The sequence below is a fragment of the Homo sapiens genome, chromosome 1 (genome assembly GCF_000001405.40).
Source record: "Homo sapiens chromosome 1, GRCh38.p14 Primary Assembly".
Classification (NCBI taxonomy): Eukaryota; Metazoa; Chordata; class Mammalia; order Primates; family Hominidae; genus Homo; species Homo sapiens.
The window spans coordinates 694720-713009 of record NC_000001.11 but is presented as its reverse complement, the minus strand read 5'-3'; the positions used below and the strand labels follow the sequence as shown (position 1 = coordinate 713009).

Sequence of the window (18290 nt, the reverse complement as noted above, 5' to 3'; positions counted from 1 at the left end):
TCCAGGGGGGTTTTTAACCTTTCCCCCACTCAAGGATTATTCTAATGTCAGAGTAGAATAAAAAATAAGTGCAGCGATGCTGACTCTTCCAAGCTTAACATTTCTCACAAGTCAATTAGCTTTGTACTGGGAGGAGGGCGTGAAGGGCTGCTTGCGGTAGTTGTGTAGCAGCAGCACAATGGCCGCAGACAAGGAAAACAGTTTCTAGGAATTCCTCGTATATAATTTTATATTTTTGACAAGATTAATGACCCATGCTCCCTTCCTCTCCATTTCTTTTTTTGGAATTCTGTTGGTATGTAGTTACTATATTTTATTAAAGGAAATTAGCCTTATCTCTTATTATATTTTATTAAATAAAATTATTATATTATTCCTTTATATTTTTATTAAAGGATTTTATTATTATTAAAGGAAATTAGCCTTATCTCTTATTATATTTTTTATGACCTTCAAAGTAGTGTCTCTGCTTAAAAGTGTACCCTGGCCGGGCGTGGTGGCTCACACCTGTAATTCCAGCACTTTGGGAGGCCGAGGCGGGTGGATCACGAGGTCAGGAGATCGAGACCATCCTGGCTAACACGGTGAAACCCCGTCTGTACTAAAAATACAAAAAATTAGCAGGGCATAGTGGCGGGCGCCTGTAGTCCCAGCTACTCAGGAGGCTCAGGCAGGAGAATGGCATGAACCCGGGAGACGGAGCTTGCGGTGAGCTGAGATCGCACCGCTGCACTCCAGCCTGGGCGACAGAGCAAGACTCCGTCTCAAAAAAAAAAAAAAAGTATACCCTGAGGCACACATCAAGCGACATGTAGAGTTCATAAATTCTGGCCAAATGGTCATACCTCAAACCTCATCAGCAGTAAGGCTCTTTACTTGCACTGACAAATATGAACGCTGGGGAATTTGGAAATGATATATAATATATAATATTATATATATAATAGATATATAATATATATAATACATATATAATATATATGTAATAGATATACAATATATAATATATAATAGATATATAATATTATATATAATAGATATATAATATATAACTTTCCATGTGATTTTCCTCTTAATTTTTTTCTAGCTGATCCATATGAATTCCTCTTATTAAGAAAAATAAAGCATCCAGGATTCAATGAAGAACTGACTATCACCTTGTTAATCATTCAGAAACATGTTGCAGGCTTAAGCCATTTTTGATATAGATACTGAAACAATTACTTGCTAAGAGCAAACTTGAAGGTATGGATAAGGCCCTGAGTCATCTTCCTGAGCTGAATGATAGTTAAGCTGAATGTACGTATAAAATATGATTTTCTAACCACTTGCTCGCCAACAAGGAAAACTTTTAAGTAGAGCAGAACCTGAATAGACAAGACATTTCTTTCTTTTGGTAGAAAATGATTTACCATCACTGTGTAGTTAATTGTAGACTAGGTAATTTTAACTTTGTGATTTATTGCCGGAGACATTTTCTTCTGTACTGTAAAGTGTGTGTCAAAAAAAAAAATAGCGATTTTGGAGGATTAGGGGACTTTGATAAATTGCCTGCAATTCTGGCAGTATGAACTGCATATTAATTTCTCTCTTTCAAGAACATTTTTATTTATTAATTCCTTACAAAAACTCCCTAAACTTTGGAACAGCTCTCAATTGCCTGTATTCTTTTTTTTCTTATTATGGTACTCTTCTAGAGATTTGGCTTGCATCTGTGAATAAGCCAGGACATCTTCAGAAATTGTCTGATTAAAAACACCACCAATGGAGTTTCGTTAAATTTGTATTGCTCTGACTAGTGAAACATACACATCTATGTTGCTGAGGATATTTTACTGCAGTTCAAGTTGTAATAATAGCTCTGTTTAAGATCCGTCAGTCACTTGAATCTTCTCTAAGGCTTTGTATGTTAGAAGTTAATTTGCTTTCTTACAAGGCCACATTCTATCTTGTAACTAAACAACTGAATTTTATGTCTTAGCGTAGATGGTTTATTACTTTCTGGTTTTTCTTTAGTAAGAATCCTATAAAAACACTAGTATTTTTCTCTGAGTTTAAAATTCAATACATGCCTACTGATATGGTTAGGCTTTGTATCCCCACCTGAATCTCGTCTTGAATTGTAATCCCCATAGCCCCCATAATCCCCACAGGTCAAGGGAGAGACCAGGTGGAGGTAATTGAATCATGGGGGCAGTTTCCCCTGTGCTGTTCTTGTGATAGTGAGTTCTCACGAGATTTGATGGTTTTATAAGGGATTCTTTCCCCTTTGCTCGGCACTTCTTCATGCTGCCTTGCGAAGAAGCTGGCTTGCTTCCTCTTTGTCTTCCGCCATGATTGTAGATTTCCTGAGGCCTCCCAAGCTGTGCTGAACTGTGAGCCAATTAAACTTCTTTCCTTTATAAATTACCCAGTCTTGGGCAGTTCTTTATAGCAGTATGAAAACAGAAAAATACACCTACTATGTAAAACTTAAAATACAAAAAAACAAAACATTATCTCACTAACATAGGAGCTAATATTTTGGTGTACTTTGTTTAGTATTTTATATTAAAAATATGTACATATATATTTATATATAATTAAGAACATGTATGTACAATCGTGCATACATCATGTACATACATCTACTTAAGAAAATAGCTATGTAATATACCATTACTCAACTAGATTATAATTTTTTCTCCATTTCTTTATTGTAATTTATCATTTTCTACTTTTTTGTTTTCTCATTTTTATTGCATAATATTTAATTATGCAAAAAATATATTAAATACATTGAAAATATATAGTGTAGCTATAAGAATAAAGAACGATGGTAAAACAAATGCTAATACCCACTACCTGACTTAAAGAATATGATATTATTTTTTTCCAATTGAAATTCCCTCAACTACTCAGAATTACTGCTATCCCTCTTATCCTTTCATTAATTTTCTTCTAGTTTTCTCACATGTGAATCTATTTCTAAATACATTTCTTTATTTTGCAAGTTTTGGGACTTCATATAAATGTAACCATATTGTATATATTCTTCTTCAGCTTCTTAGTTTTTCACTAAACAATATGTTTTGCTGATACTTACATTCATATGTACAGTAATAGTTGATTTATTTTAATGGCTATATATTATTCCATTGTTAGAATACACCAGGATTTATTTTTACTTATTTTTTTTGCTGGAAAATTGGGTGTCTTTTTTATTTTTTGATATAACAAACAATGTTGTAATCATTTTGTATTTACTTCCTAGTCCACTCCTGTAAGTTTCTCTTGAGTACATACTAGCAATGAATATGCTGAGTCACTGCATATACATACTCACAACTTTATTCTATAATGTAATATTCTATAAAGTAGCTGTATCAGTTTATACTTTAACCAGTAATGGACAAGATTTTCTGTTACTTCCCATCTTTGTTAATTATTACTTTTAGACTCTAACTTTTATCAGGCTCATGGATGTAAAAAGCATCTCAGGGTGGTTTTAATTTGCATTTATCTGCTCATCTATGAAGATGAGCTTCTTTTCATATAATTATGAGTCATTATTTTTGTTTTGCCTTCTTTTGTTTATGCATTTTGCTTGTTCTATGTCTTATTTTTCCTGTTGATTTTTGGGAGTTCATATATATTCTAAATGTATATTTATTCACTTATATATATGTTGTAAATATTACAGTTTATGATTTGTCACCTTATGATATCTTCCAAATAGAGAAGCTTTATATTTTGATGTAGTCATATGTTCATTTTTCCTCCTTAATGTTTGTTTTTCTTGGTTCTATGACCTACCAAAAGTAACAAAAATTCTCATTTATTTTTAATCTAAATGTTTTAAGTATTTTCCTGGAATTCACCTTGAATTGATTTCTATTGGAGATAGGTATCCAATCTAATTTGCCTCATATGGATAACCACTTGTTCTATTACTGCTGTAACAAATTTCTGCAAACTAAGTGACCTAAAATAACACAAACTTGTCATCTTACAGTGTACACAAGTCAGAAATCAGGCATGAATTTTAGTGAACTAAAATCAAGTTGTCGACAGGCATGTTTCTTTATGGTGGCTAGGGTAGAATCCATATCCTGGCCTTTTCTATCTTCTAGAGAACATCAGCATTCCTTTTCTCATTGCCTCTCCTCTCTCTTTTTAAAGCTGGCAATGTCACATTTCTCTGACCATTCTTTCATTGTCACATCTCTCTCTGGACTCAGCTAAGAAAGGTTCTCCATTTTTAAGAACTCATGTGATTAGACTGGGCCCATCTGGGTAACCCAGGAAGATCTCTCCATCTCGGTTTGCATCCTTAATCACATCTGATAAGCCTTTATTGCATTCAGTGTAACATATTCACAGGTTCCAGGGTTAGGCATGGGCATCTTTGAGGGCCATTATTCTCCCTACCACATTATTTGCCTAGCATCTTTCATTACATTGTCCATCTATTTACTTACTGATTTCTAATGACATCCAAATCAGTTACAACATTTTATGTAAGCATTGTTTTTATTTTTATGTTATTCCACTAGTCTATTTTTCTACTCATGAATTATGGCACATGAGTTTATTTTTGCAACTTTAAGCTCAATAACATGTTTTAAGATTTCCTCAACTTTCTTTTTGCGCTTCTTCAGAAGTTGACTCTTTTGGCCCTTTGGTCTTCTATACACATTTTAGAAATGCTTTGTTGAGGGCTAAGAGGAATGCTAAGATTTTGATAGGAATTTCATTGAATTTTGAGTATATTGGCATGCTACAATGGTTAGTGCTTTATACATGAAAATAATATATCCCTTCCTCTTTTCCTAGTATCATGAGATGTTTGTTAGGCAGACATGAATATTGAGTTGTATCAAATGTGGTTTTCTGCATTATTGTGGTGGTGATGTGATTTAGCTCCTTTAATTAGTTAATGTAAGGAATTACATTTGTAGATTGCTCTAACTATTGAAACAAGCTTGAATTTCTGGAATAAGCCCAATGTGATATTTATTCAACAAATATTCATTGAGTATACCTAGTATGTAACATGCTTTAAGAATACACCAGTGAACCAAACAGAAATATCTGACATTACAGAACTTAACATTCCAGTATTTGGAGACAGACGATAAAAAAGTGAACATGTATATTTACAGTTTGTCAAGGAATGATAAATGAAGACTCTTAAAGTAGATGGGGAATTGGGAGTGAAGTCTGTAATTTAAATAGGGTGGGCAGGAAAGCTTCACAGAGAATGGGACATTTAAGAATAGACTTGAAGGACAGGCAAGAGCAATCTCTATGTTTATATGGGAGAAAAGGTTCCAGGCAGATGCAGTAACAATGGCAAATATCCTGAAGTAGGATCATGCTGGAGTTTTTGTGGAGCAGCAAGGAGGCTAGTGTGACTGCCACAGAATCACCCAAGGGAAGATGAGAAGATCAGACCAGACCAGCACTTGGGCATCTAATGGGAAAAGTTTCTCAAGCCATCATAAAAATTTCACTTTTACTATAAATACTACGAGAAACCATGGGATGTTTTACAGTAAGAAAGGTGGCATAATATGTTACATGTTTTAAACAAACTCTATAGCTTCTGAGTTGAAATAGATTGTAGGGGCTCATGGCAGAAGCAGAGGGAACATTTAGGAGACTACTGTAAAGAATATCATGAAAAGAACAAACAACGCTATGTAACATGCTTAAATGGACTGAAGAAGATGTATAAAATCAAAATGATGTTACCTTCACACCTTGAATCAGTACGATAAACCCCCCTCCCCAATCACAAAAGAAAAACTAAACACAAAAACCAGGCTTTGGTTGCTCAGACAATTTTACAGGTGAGTTCTAGCAAACATGCAAAGAACGTTTAATTGCACTGTTACAGAAATTCTTCTGGAGACAAGAAAATAAGACACATCACCCAACCAATTTCATAATAACAATGTCAATGTATAATAACAGAAAAAGTGGATCTCCAAAGAAATAAATTTATTTGGAAATAAACAAGGATTATAATCTGAGATATTTGTGCTATGATCAATCATAGGTGCATCCCAAGAGGTTGAGGTAAGGAAAATATGTAAAGACAAAAAGAAGTCCATGCAAGCTGTTTTGAAACAAACATCATTGGTCACAGGGTCTGATGCAGGAGCTGGTGTTAACTTACTGGCAGAAACAGCCATTGCTAGGCAAGTGTTCTTGTGAGGGTGGCTTATCTGAAATGCTGCAGTCTTGAGGAATTTTTTATGATAGGTCCTATTATAGAGACACCTACAGGATGAGCTGGACAAACAGAGTGTGCTGGGTGGGCAGAAATTTCTTGTGAGTTTATAGAAAGTCCTTGTGATAGTGCTTATCGTGGACAGACACACAAGATCCCCTTTTTCATGACCCGGCTCCACTTTGCTTTGGGTCTGATGTAAGTGACTTTGCCTTGTCATTGGCAACTTTCACTGTAGTATAATCTGCACATCAAAGTTACCTAACAATAGTACAAAGAAAGAAAATTAAAGGTATATCTCTTTCAAAAATATAAACCCCAAAATTGTTAGGAAATTGTAGTGAGTATAAAAGATAATTCATTATAATAAACATCTCAAGCTTCACAGAATTCTGACCTTTGCTACACTCTCATCCACAATCTTTTCTCCTAGTAAATGGCAGCTCCTTCTGTTAAGTTGCTGAGGCTTCTTATTGCTTTTTTCTTCAAATAACAGTCAGAACTGAACAACTGTAATCATCCTAGTCCATACAATTGTTATATTTTCATTTAAAGAAGATCAATGTGTGATTCTTTTTTTATATATTTCTGGACAATTCTTTATATTTTAATAGTAGTCAGAATTTGATCAGGAAAACAGAAGACATCCTATGTATTATAATGATAAAAGTTTAATATTAATTAGGGCCTTATGCTATTATTGGAAGAGCTTGGTGAATAGATATTAGAAAAGCAGCTAGACAAAATCAGAAGAGGTCTGTTTTATATCAGAGATCTTAGCCTGACAGTCTAGAGTGTGGGCACAGAACCCAAGCTTATAGGAATTTCTGAAAGGTCTGTAAATCTTATCCAGATGGACAGTGGGAGCTCATAAAGGATTCTGCAAGCCATCACATCTGTCAAACCTGCTATGTCTAATCCTTAAGCCTGCTTTATTTGAAGACCTCCTCTTCACTCCTCATTTCCAGCTCTCATGAGTTTCTTTCATAGGCAAACCCAGACCTGGAACAATGTGCCTGAAGACTTCGGGTGACACAGTACCCAGACTTAAATAGGAGGGGAGCCATGGTGGAAGTGGCCATCCAGCACAATTTTCTTGGTCTTTACTCATAGTTTTGATTCCTTAAAAAAATTAACCACATTAAAATATGTGTTTCATAATCTACATCTAATAATACAAATATTTAAAGTCTTTTCAAGTTTGAATACGCTACCCATGTTGCTGCTACCCCCATTTTGTGTGTGTGATTTTTGTGTGTGTGTTAGAAGCTCATGACCTTTGAAACCTGCTCTTATGAGCTTGCTTTGATGATTTATTTGTCCAGAGAGGATTTTTTTTCCTACCTAGCATTTTGGACTGCTATCAACCTGAGACCACTTTGAATTAAATTCTCAGCTTGCAAATTTGGAAGCCACACAGATTGTGTGAGTTCAGGCTGAAACCTGTTTGAGAGCTGGATTCTGGCTATAAACTCCACAGGGAACATTTTCTCTCTCCACTCAGAGCTGAGACCATAGGGAAATTTATTTGCTAGCTCACTTTGAAGGTTTATTTTATTTATTTTTTAAATTTCTAGTACACGTGCTCACTGAAGGTGTAATACTTATGTGAGAATCTCAAAATCAGTTGTGTTCTTTGTATGACCCTGGTTTTGTTTCCTCCTGCTCTCTTACTTTCAGTGTGTCTCAGTATGTCTGCTCAATATGTCATCTTAAATTTCAACTGAGGGTGGATCTTCTTCCCAGCTCACTCACATGGTTCTTAGCTAGATTCAGTTTCTCTCCATTTGTAGGACTGAGGACCTCAGTTCTTCACTTAGGGTTGGCTACAGGTAATCATCAATTTCTTGTAACAGGACTTACACTGGGCCACTGACAGCATGCCAGTTGGCTTCATTCAAATGAGAGGGCAAGAGAAAGAGAGAGAGGGAGAGGGCACAAGAAGAAATTCACAGTATCTTATAATCTAATCTCAGAAGTGGCATCTCATTTCTTTTGTTCTATTCTATTCAATAGAAACAAGTACCTGGGACCAGCTTACACTATAGGAAAGAGATTATATAAGGGTATAAATACCAAGAGGTAGAGATCATCAAGAGCCATTCTGGTAGCAGCCACAATATCTTATCCAGAATATTTCTTATTCAGGCCTTCAAATGTGCTGTCTTTTCTGGTCTAATGGAAATGAACCTTCCTTCCATACAATTTCTTCTCCTAAATTGTACTCTGGCTCTCTTATCATATACAAATGTCTATGTTAGGTATTTGTGTCTGTCTTGATTCTTGGTAGGCTTTTAAACTCTGTGAATGTTGGACTGTGATGTAGACATCATTTCACCGCACACTCTGTAACCACCAAACCTTAGCAGCTTATTCAGTGAGCACATACTTGGCTCTTAATGAGTATTGCTTAAATTGATGAATTGAATTAGTATTTTACCTTCTCTGTTGCTTAGCTAAGCAGAAGAATTTGTCATTTTTTTAATTTAGTGACTGGTTCTATTAAAAGTTACCTTTGTCTATATCATTTTGTTATACTAAAGCACAAATGTGTAAGGTCAAAAAACATTCTCAAGATTTTGTTTAAACCACAGCCCTCAGTTGTGTATATTTATCTCTTGTTTTCATATGCAAGATTTCTCCTGAAATGGGCAACAATTACAAGAGTTTTTTTCCTCTTCTGAACTAAGAAAATAAATATTTAATTCACAAGTTTAGAAAAGTGAACCTGAAAAATCACAGGGCTAGGTGGGTTATGAGGCCCACTGGTACATGATAGTGTTGAATGTGGATTAGAATGAACTCCGTGGATTAGAATCTCAGACCATAGGCAAACATTTACTTGTTTTAGAATAAGCACATTTGAGTCTGCAATAAGTATTACTATTTTTAAGTTGAAAATGTAATTGGTTTCTAATAATAACCATATTGGCTAGCATTATTTCAATCGTGTTTAATGTTTTCCAATGTCATTTCATGTCAGATATCTCTCTTGATTCTTAGTAACAATTTGGACAAGACAGCAAATGCTATTGTCCAAGTTTTCTAAAGAAGAATCTGAAGTGAAATGACATCAAGAGACCTATCAAGACCTGTATCCAGGAAAAGGTAAATCTGAGCTGAAATTGTAGCCCTTGTAAATTACCTACGTGACATACCAGATAGTGTTCATGATCCATTCAGTACTCTGTTCTAAAAATGAGACAATATCCATTTATTCACTTGTTCATTTATTTAGTGCTTGTTCAGCCCTTACTGCATATTCCAGGCACTATTCTGACTGTGGCAGGAGTGAACAAACAGGCATGGTTCTTACTTGCATGTAATTACAGTCTTATAGTGAAAACAAGTGTTAAACAACAAAATCTCCCAATTATTTTAAAATTATAAACTTGATTCGATACTATGTGGCCATATAATTGTTCCTAATTTGGTTGGAGAAGGGAGGCAGTTAGGGAAGCCTTCCCTGAGTTAGTGCCATTTAACCTGAATTATGATAGATGATAAGTAATTTGTCAGGGGAAAAATACTCCAGGAATAAAGAACAGGTACAAAGGTCAGGTTCTGGGAAGAGCTTGTCTTGGTCCAGGAGCTAAAAAATGTTAGAGTGGCTGGATCTGGGAAAGAGACAAAGAGTTATTAAATGAGGCAGCAGGCTTCAGCAGGTGCCACATTGCTCAGGGCCTTGTAGGCCATGCTAAGGATTTGGGATGTTAATGTCAGTACAAACAATTGAGTCGTAAGCAGAAAGTAAAAGCATGATTCCATCAAATGTTATTCTCTAAACAGTAATTTTATAAATACAGGTTAAATGTGTGTGGTCCCAGCTACTCAGGAGGTCCCAGCTACTCAGTATTCCTTTTCAACAAATATTAGGTGCCTACTATTAGCCAGGTACAGCCCTTAGCTACTTTGAATGAAGCATATATTACAAACTGGCAGAATTTCTTAAACAAAGAATCTAAAGTTGTTTATACACCATAATCTCGGTATTTTATAAATTTCTTGAAATTATTTTTATGTACACTGCTTTGCAGAATTTTAACTGGCTTTGAAATAAACAATGACAATAGTCCTCCATGTTACTAGTTTCAAATTTTCCCAATACCTACTAAGACATTACTTAATCCACAGATTTACTGTCAATAGTTTGTATCAAATTGTGATAACATATTTGAAGTTAATATTTCAAATTAAAGCAAAATCACAAATTTATACTTTATATTATGAATGAGATTCACAAAAGGAGCATGATAATATATTCTGTTGTCATCACATACAAAATAATAACATATAGAGTATGAATCAATAATTTTTCAAATACAAAGCTATTACAATTAGGAATACAAAGAAATCATAATTAGGAATACTTCTACAATATTAACACACAATAGTGGTAACACTTGCAAAATGATGGCGGTGGTTTTTTTTTTTCTTTTTTTTCCCCGACAGAGTCTTGCTCTTGTTGCCCAGGCTGGAGTGCAATGGCGTGATTTTGGCTCACTGTAAACTCCACCTCCTGGGTTCAAGCGATTCTCCTGCCTCAGCCTCCCTAGTAGCTGGTATTACAGGTGCCTGCCACCACACCCAGCTAATTTTTGTATTTTTAGTAGAGATGGGGGTTTCACCATGTTGGCCAGCCTGGTCCCGAACTCCTGACCTTAGGTGATCCACCAGCATCGGCCTCCCAAAGTGCTGGGATTACAGGTGTGAGCCACTGCGTCCAGCCAGTGGTGGGTCTCATATCTCAATGTGGACTTTTACTAACTCCCGATGCCTCATTTTCCTCATCAGTTGAAAGGAATGAATGAAAGATTTGTGTTTTTCATATTACCAGGTAGATGATAAGGAGATTTTAATTTTCTTTTTTTTTAACTTTTATTTTAAGTTTAGGGGCATTTGTTACATAGGTAGACTGGTGTCACAGGGGGTTATTGTACAGATCATTTCATCACCCAGGTATTAAACCTAGTACCCAATAGTTATCTTTTCTGCTTCTCTTCCTTTTCTCACCCTCCACCCTCAAGTAGACCCCAGTGTCTGTTTTATTCTTTGTGTTCATGAGTTCTCATCATTTAGCTCCCACTTATAACTGAGAGTATGCTGTATTTGGTTTTCTGTTCCTGCATTAGTTTGCTAAGGATAATAGAAGGTCCATCCATGTTCCAGCAAAAGACATGATATCATTTTTTAATGGCGGCATAGTATTCCATGGTGTATATGTACAGCCTGCATATAAACTGTGGGCTAAAGACCTTCACCAGAGCAGTCTGACAGAACCTCTCTGGAAGACTTCTCCTAGGCTGTAATCCTCAGTCTCTTGTTCTCAGACCCCTAAATAAATCTAACTTTAATTTCTTAAAAGCTTAATTTTTTTCTTTAGTTGACACCAAAAATCTCCCCAGCCAGATCCACAAACTTTTTCGGTATTTTTCCTATTTTTTATATCATTCCAGGCAAGCGTTTTCTAATTCTCCCATCAGAATATGACTTTGGTGCGTTTTCCTCAGCCTCCACTGATGATTTTTTCTCATTATCCTTAAAGCCCTTTCCAGTAGACTTCTTAAGCTCTTTCAAGTTTTCAGTCTCCTTAAGGACCATTCAGTGTTTACTGTCAGTTCCCAGAATGCTTTTACAGGTTTTGCTATCATTTTCCTTGAAGTCTGTTCACTTTTCACTAACAGTCTTTGTGAAATCCTTCTGGCTTCTATCCATTGTCTGATTCCAAAGCCAATGCCACATAGTTTAAGTTTATATTATATTAGAGTGACATCTTATTCCACGTACCACAAACCACCTCAAAACTTAGCAGCTTAAAACAACAAACTTAAAAAAAATTGTGGACTTGTATTAGCGCAAGCAGGGCTTAGCTACATGATTCTGCTCCATGTGGTATTAACTGTAGCCATCTGTGGTATTCAGCTGGCAGCTGGGTAGTCTGGAGAGTTGAAGGTGGCTTCAGTGATGTGCCTGTTTTATTAGTGGATTGGATGAAATGTTGTGGTAAGGTGGGCCTCTCTTGCTCTCCGTGTAGTTTGAGAGCCTGTCTACATGATCTATTCAGCAGCAATATGGTTTGGATGTGTCCCCACCCAAATCTCATCTTGAATTGTAGCTCCCATAATTTCCGTGTCTTGTGGGAGGGATCCAACGGGAGATAACTGAATCACAGGAGTATTTCCCCCATACTGTTCTCGTGGTCTTGAATAAGTCTCACAAGAGCTGATGATTTTATAAGGGGGTTCCCCTTTCACTTAGCTCTCATTCTGTCTTGTCTGCCATCATGTAGAGATGTGCCTTTTGCCTTCCACCATGATTGTGAGGCCTCCCCATCCACCTGGAAATGTGAGTCCATTAAGTGTCTTTTTCTTCATAAATCACTCAGTCTCAGGTATGTCTTTATCAGCAGCATGAAAACAGACTAATACAGTACATTGGTACTGGTAGAGTGGGGTGCTGTTGTAAAGATAACCCAAAAATGTGGAAGCGACTTTGGAACTGGGTAACAGGCAGGGGTTGAAACAGTTTGGAGGGCTCAGAAAACGACAGGAAAATGTGGGAAAGTTTGGAACTTCCTAGAGACTTGTTGAATGGCTTTGACTAAAATGTCAAATAATGATATAGACAATGAAATCCAGGCTGAGATGGTCTCAGATGGAGATGAGGAACTCAATGGGAACTGGAGTAAAGGTGTCTCTTGCTATCGAGAGAGACTGGCAGCATTTTGTCCCTGCCCTAGAGATTTGTGGAACTTTGAACTTGAGGGAGATGAGTTAGGGTATCTGGCAGAAGAAATTTCTAAGCAGCAAATCATTCAAGAGTGACTTGGGTGTGTTAAAAGCACTCAGTTTTAACAGGAAAACAGAGCATAAACGTTCAGAAAATTTGTAGCATGACACTGTGATAGAAAAGAAAAATCCATTTTCTGAGGAGAAATTCAAGCTGGCTGCAGAAATTTGCATAAGTAACAAGGAGCCAAATGTTAATCGCTAAGTCTTCAGGCCATGTCAGAGATCTTTGTGGCAGCCCCTTCCATCACACACCCAGAGGCCTAGGAGGAAAAAATGGTTTCATAGGCTGGGCCCAGGGCCCCTCTGCTGTTTGCCTGTGTACAGCCTAGGGACTTGGTGCTCTGTGTCCCAGCTGCTCCAGCCACAGCTAAAAGGGGTCAAGGTACAGCTCAGGCCATGGCTTCAGAGGGTGCAAGCCTCAAGCTTTGGCAGCTTCCATGTGGTGTTGAGCCTGTGGATTCACGGAAGTCCAGAATCGAGGTATGGGAACCTCCACCTAGATTTCAGAGAATGTATGGAAATGCCTGGATCTCCAGACAGAAGTTTGCTGCAGGGGTGAGGTCTTCATGGAGAACCTCTGCTAAGGCAGTGGGGAATGGAAATGTGGGGTTGAAGCCCCCAACACAGAGTCCCCACTAGGGTACTGCCTAGTGGAGCTATGAGAAGAGGGCTGCTGTCCTCCAGACCCCGGAATGGTAGATCCACCGACAGCTTGCACTGTGTGCCTGGAAAAGCTGCATACAATGCCAGCCTGTGAAAGCAACCGGGAGGAAGGCTCTCCCCTGCAAAACCACAGGGGTGGAGCTGCCTGAGACCATGGGAACCCACCACTTGCATGAGTATGACCTGGATGTGAGACATAGAGTCAAAGGAGATCATTTTGGAGCTTTAAGATTTGACTGTCCCACTGGATTTCGGACTTGTTTGGAGCCTTTAGTCCCTTTGTTTTGGGTAAATTTTACCATTTGGAACGGCTGCATTTACCCAATGCCTGTACTCCTATCTTATCTAGAAAATAACTAAATTGCTTTTGATTTTACAGGTTTATATGTGGAAGAGACTTGCCCTGTCTCAGGTGAGACTTTGGACTGCCAACTTTTGAGTTAATGCTGAAGTGAGTTAAGACTTTTGGGGACTATTGGGAAGGCATGATTGGTTTTGAAATGTGAGGACATGAGATTTGGGAGGTGCCAGAGGCAGAATGAGGTGGTTTGGCTGTGTCCTTTCCCAAATCTCATCTTGAATTGTAGCTCCCATAATTCCCATGTGTTGTGGAGGGACCTGGTGAGAGATAATTGAATGATGGGGTGGCTCCCCCATACTGTTCTTATGGTCGTGAATAAGTCTCATGAGAGCTGATGACTTTACAAGGGGCTTCCCCTTTCACTCAGCTCTCATTGTCTCTTGTCTGCTCCCATGTAATGCATACTTTTCACCTTCTGCCATGATTGTGAGGCCTCCCCATCCACATGGAACTGTGATTCCATGAAACTCTTTTTATTCATAAATTACCCGGTCTTGGATATGTCTTTATCAGCAGCATGAAAATGGACTAATGCAAGCAGAATAAGCAGAATTCTTCGATACTGACTCAGCACCCACACACGTTGGTTCCAAGATGTAGAAATGGAAGCTTCAAGGCTTTTAACATCTGGACATCAAAACTGGAAGTTTTACTTTCACTGTATTTTATTGGTCAAAGCAGTCAAAGAGCCCACCCAGGTTCAAGGAGAAAGAATATGTCCCCACGTTTTCAACGGGATGGTGCCACAAAATTTCTAGTCATCTTAATTCACCACGGATAGAAATATGAAGAGCTCATTTGTTATGTTATTTGTGAATGCAGACTAAAGATATTTGTTGGTTTATATAGTAGTGGGAAAATGAGAACTTTTAAAATATTCAACTTTTAGCCCTTGACATGCAAAATGAGTTCATTACATGGTAAGGATGAGGGAGAAAGAAAAGATCTGAAAAAGTAGAAGAGTGATGGATTCAGAAAGTATAGGATGATTGTCAGTGTGATTGTTTTATCTAGCCACATATAGCTGTGTGGTATCAAGATGTAGAAGGCAGAGAGTAGGATTTATCAGGATTGTTGTTTGGAAGAGTGAGTACAATCATTACGAGGGAGCAAGGTATTGATCATGGAATATAAAGTGGGAAAAGAGGTAAGGTAAGAAGGATATCAGTAAAGTGAATGACAGCATAAATATGGTAGAACCATTGGATTGGTGGCTCTGGAGGAATTGAATAATTATTAGACTTGAAGCATTAGATGGTGCATTAGTGAGGGCATCTCCAACTAAGTCTACCATCAAGTCATGGTGATTTATTATCTCAAATATATGACAAATTTATCTACTTATTTCCAAAACTCCCATATCTAGTTTAAGTAATCAAATTTCTTGCCTTAGCAAGCATGTTGCTTTCTAATTGACTCACCTGTATCCAATTTGAATTCCTTAAAATCCATTCTATACATTGTAACCATAGTGATATTTACAAATGTGAAATCTGGTCAAATCATTCTTCTGCTTAGTAGTCTTGGATTTCTCATTCTCTTAGGAAGCATCTTCCACTACTTATTTCAGCATTATCTGCACAATGCTTCCCCTCACTTCCTCACAATGTGGTTTCAGGCACAACTCCCAAGGCCCCACTCTGGCCTCGGGGAGCAGATTGTTCCCCCTGCAGGAAAACCTTTGTTCTCCACTCAGTTAACTGCTGTTTACCCTTTAGATCTCAGCTTCAGTGTTGCTTTCTTAGGGGAAACTTCTCTGACTCACATCAAATCCCTCTCTTATAGTAATTTTCATTGTATTTCAGAGTAATTTTTATGGTTGCAATTTTACATTTGTGTGATTGTTTGATTAATCTCTGTCTCCTCCACGAAAACTCCAAGATGCAGGAACTATATCTTACTGGCATTCAGCACAATACCTGGCACATAGGTGTTCAAAAAATACTAATAGGGTAAATAAATGAATTAATTTTATGCTTTTATTTTAATATTTTCATGGTATTAATATTTCTCTGTATGTGATATTTTGTATGTACCTATTTTCTTTTAATTTGAAGATTTATAGTTTAGTTATGTGCTGTATAAATTATATTTAGTTCTTTAATTTTTGTGTTATTTCCAAGGGTGCTCTCCATTGACTCTTTTAATATAGTTCCACTTTACCCCTTAAACCCACTTTCCTCTCCCACCTTCGTCATCCAACTTTATTTGATTTTGTTATTTTTAATTTTTCTAATAATGACCTTTATCTTTTAAAATAATATTTAATCACCCATAACATAATTTGTTGATTCTCTCCCACTGTGAAAGTTGAATGGACCAGAATATATTTCTACTATCTTTCTCTTCTTATTTTTGTTATGAATATAATTAGTCTTTATACAGTTATGGTTTGTAACATTTGCATTCTGTTCTTTAACCGCAAACCCCAGAACATTTTGATATTAGGCTTCAGAATGCTCACTTGTATCATGTTATCTCTATTCATTTTTAGTGGATAGTTTTCTTTTTTAAGTTTTTCTGATAGAGATGGGGTCTTGCTATGTTGCCCAGGCTGGTCTTATCTTGAACTCCTGGGCTCAAGTGATTCTCCTGCCTTGGCCTTTCAAAGTGTTGGGACTGTAGGTGTTAGCCCCTGCGCCTGGCCTCTAATAGTTGTCTTCATTAAAGCCTCATGGGGACTCTATTTTTTTTTTTTTTTGTGGGTTGTTTATTTTGTGTTTGTGAAGTCCGGTAAATTCAGTTGCATCTGCCTTGATGTGGTCATACTATAACACATTTTTTCTGGATAAAGATAAGCCCTTTAACCATTAGATTCAATGTTTTCTTCATTTCAGAAAAGTTTTCTTTTATCTTTGAATTTTTTAACCAGATATTGTGAGCTCTTTCACACTAATTTCTCATTTGTTGGACCTGACTTTAATGTTACATTTCACCTTCTTGTGTTTTCTATTTCGTTTTGCTCAGGATATATTTAAGCCTGTCATTTATATTCTTATCTGTGTTTTTAGCAGCATTATTCTCTCCACTTCCCACTTTTTTTCCTGCTTTTATTGATCTTCATTTCTTTCATGGTTGTCTTTACTCATTACATCCTGAATTTTGCCAGATTATTTTTTATCACTTTATTTTGTATTTATTTTCAATTATGTCTTCTAAATATCATTTCAGAGAGAAAACATTTTAGAGAAGGCATATTTTTAAAAAACATAGAAAATTTGATCCTGTTTTTTACTGCTTCATGGTATAATTTGTATGTTCTGTACCTTATGTAATTTTCCCTTTTTCTTCTAGTATTTTTATAAAGGTCATCAAGTTTTATTTTTGTAATACAATTATTATAAATAATTATATAATATTATTAGTCTTTGAATATTCTAGATACTTGTGAAAGGATATTGTGGAGGAGGAGCTGGGGGTAGTAAGTATGATGGAAGGCAGACGAGTTTTGGAATCTTGTCTCCAAAACACTCTCATCTGTTAGAATGACTCCTAGGCTATAGGATTGACTATGGCTTAGAGTGGATTCATAGTTGTTAATTTCATCATGTGACTTGTGACTTATCCTTTTCTTTTCATAATAGAATGAAAATTGCCATCTGTCTGGCTTCTTCCCCATCTTTTTGCCTTCTTTCATTACACCACACACGTGTCCTAATTATTCCAAAGGTGATACATTTGCATGTTTCCCTTTAAACTCCTTTCCCTCTGTCACTCTGTGGAGGGTTCACATGCTGCAATATTTCTGTTCCAAGTAAAGATCACAGGTTTTGATCCTCAGTCCTCAGTATACACACCTCTTTTAGGGATTTCTGGGCTTCTTGACTAGCTCAAGCTCTTCAGAGGCATGCACTTTATCTTGGTGTTCAGTCTTGACTGGTTTAAACTTTTGATGTCCAGAAGGTTTTCTTCATGTGTTGTTGTGTGGAATTGTAAATATTTTCTAGCTTTTGTAAGGTTGTGGCTCATATTTATATTTCTCCTGGTTTGAAAGAAGAGAGAGAAAGAAGTATGTCAAATTGAGACTCTTAGATTGGAAATCTGAATTTATTTACACGATTGAGATTGATCTAGAGTTTTATTTTTTCTGCTGTAACTGAAATTTGGATTCAAGATTATATGTGTTTTGTGAATATGTTTGGTAACATTGTGACTTTTCTATAATTTAGGGAAGTTTGATGTAGGAGAAAGAGAAAAAATTTTTGAGAGAATCCTAAATTCATATATGGCCTAACCTTTTAATATCTATGTAATTTTA

At 36.6% G+C, this 18290-nt stretch overlaps 1 protein-coding gene across 4 annotated transcripts in view, besides 1 other annotated feature; it reads left to right on the top strand.

Moving 5' to 3' along the window:
- The window catches only part of OR4F16 (olfactory receptor family 4 subfamily F member 16), a 44026-nt gene that overhangs the window by 7092 nt on the left and 18644 nt on the right, over positions 1-18290 (top strand). For 2 of the 4 annotated variants that reach the window (XM_017002410.2, XM_017002408.2), the window contains exon 1: positions 1218-1299. The exons of 1 other annotated variant lie outside the window; for it this stretch is intronic. The gene's annotated coding sequence lies outside the window, so the exon portion shown is untranslated. Of the gene's footprint in view, positions 1-1217; positions 1300-14064; positions 14084-18290 lie in introns of those variants that run through there. One more of the 4 variants, XM_047431162.1, reaches the window with a different exon arrangement.
- Positions 15425-15936: an enhancer, noted in NCBI's record as "NANOG hESC enhancer chr1:632454-632965 (GRCh37/hg19 assembly coordinates)". NCBI's record gives its function as "activates a minimal SCP1, AML or CMV promoter by ChIP-STARR-seq in primed H9 embryonic stem cells {active_cell/tissue: H9 hESC(primed)}" and the evidence as "EXISTENCE:reporter gene assay evidence [ECO:0000049][PMID:30033119]".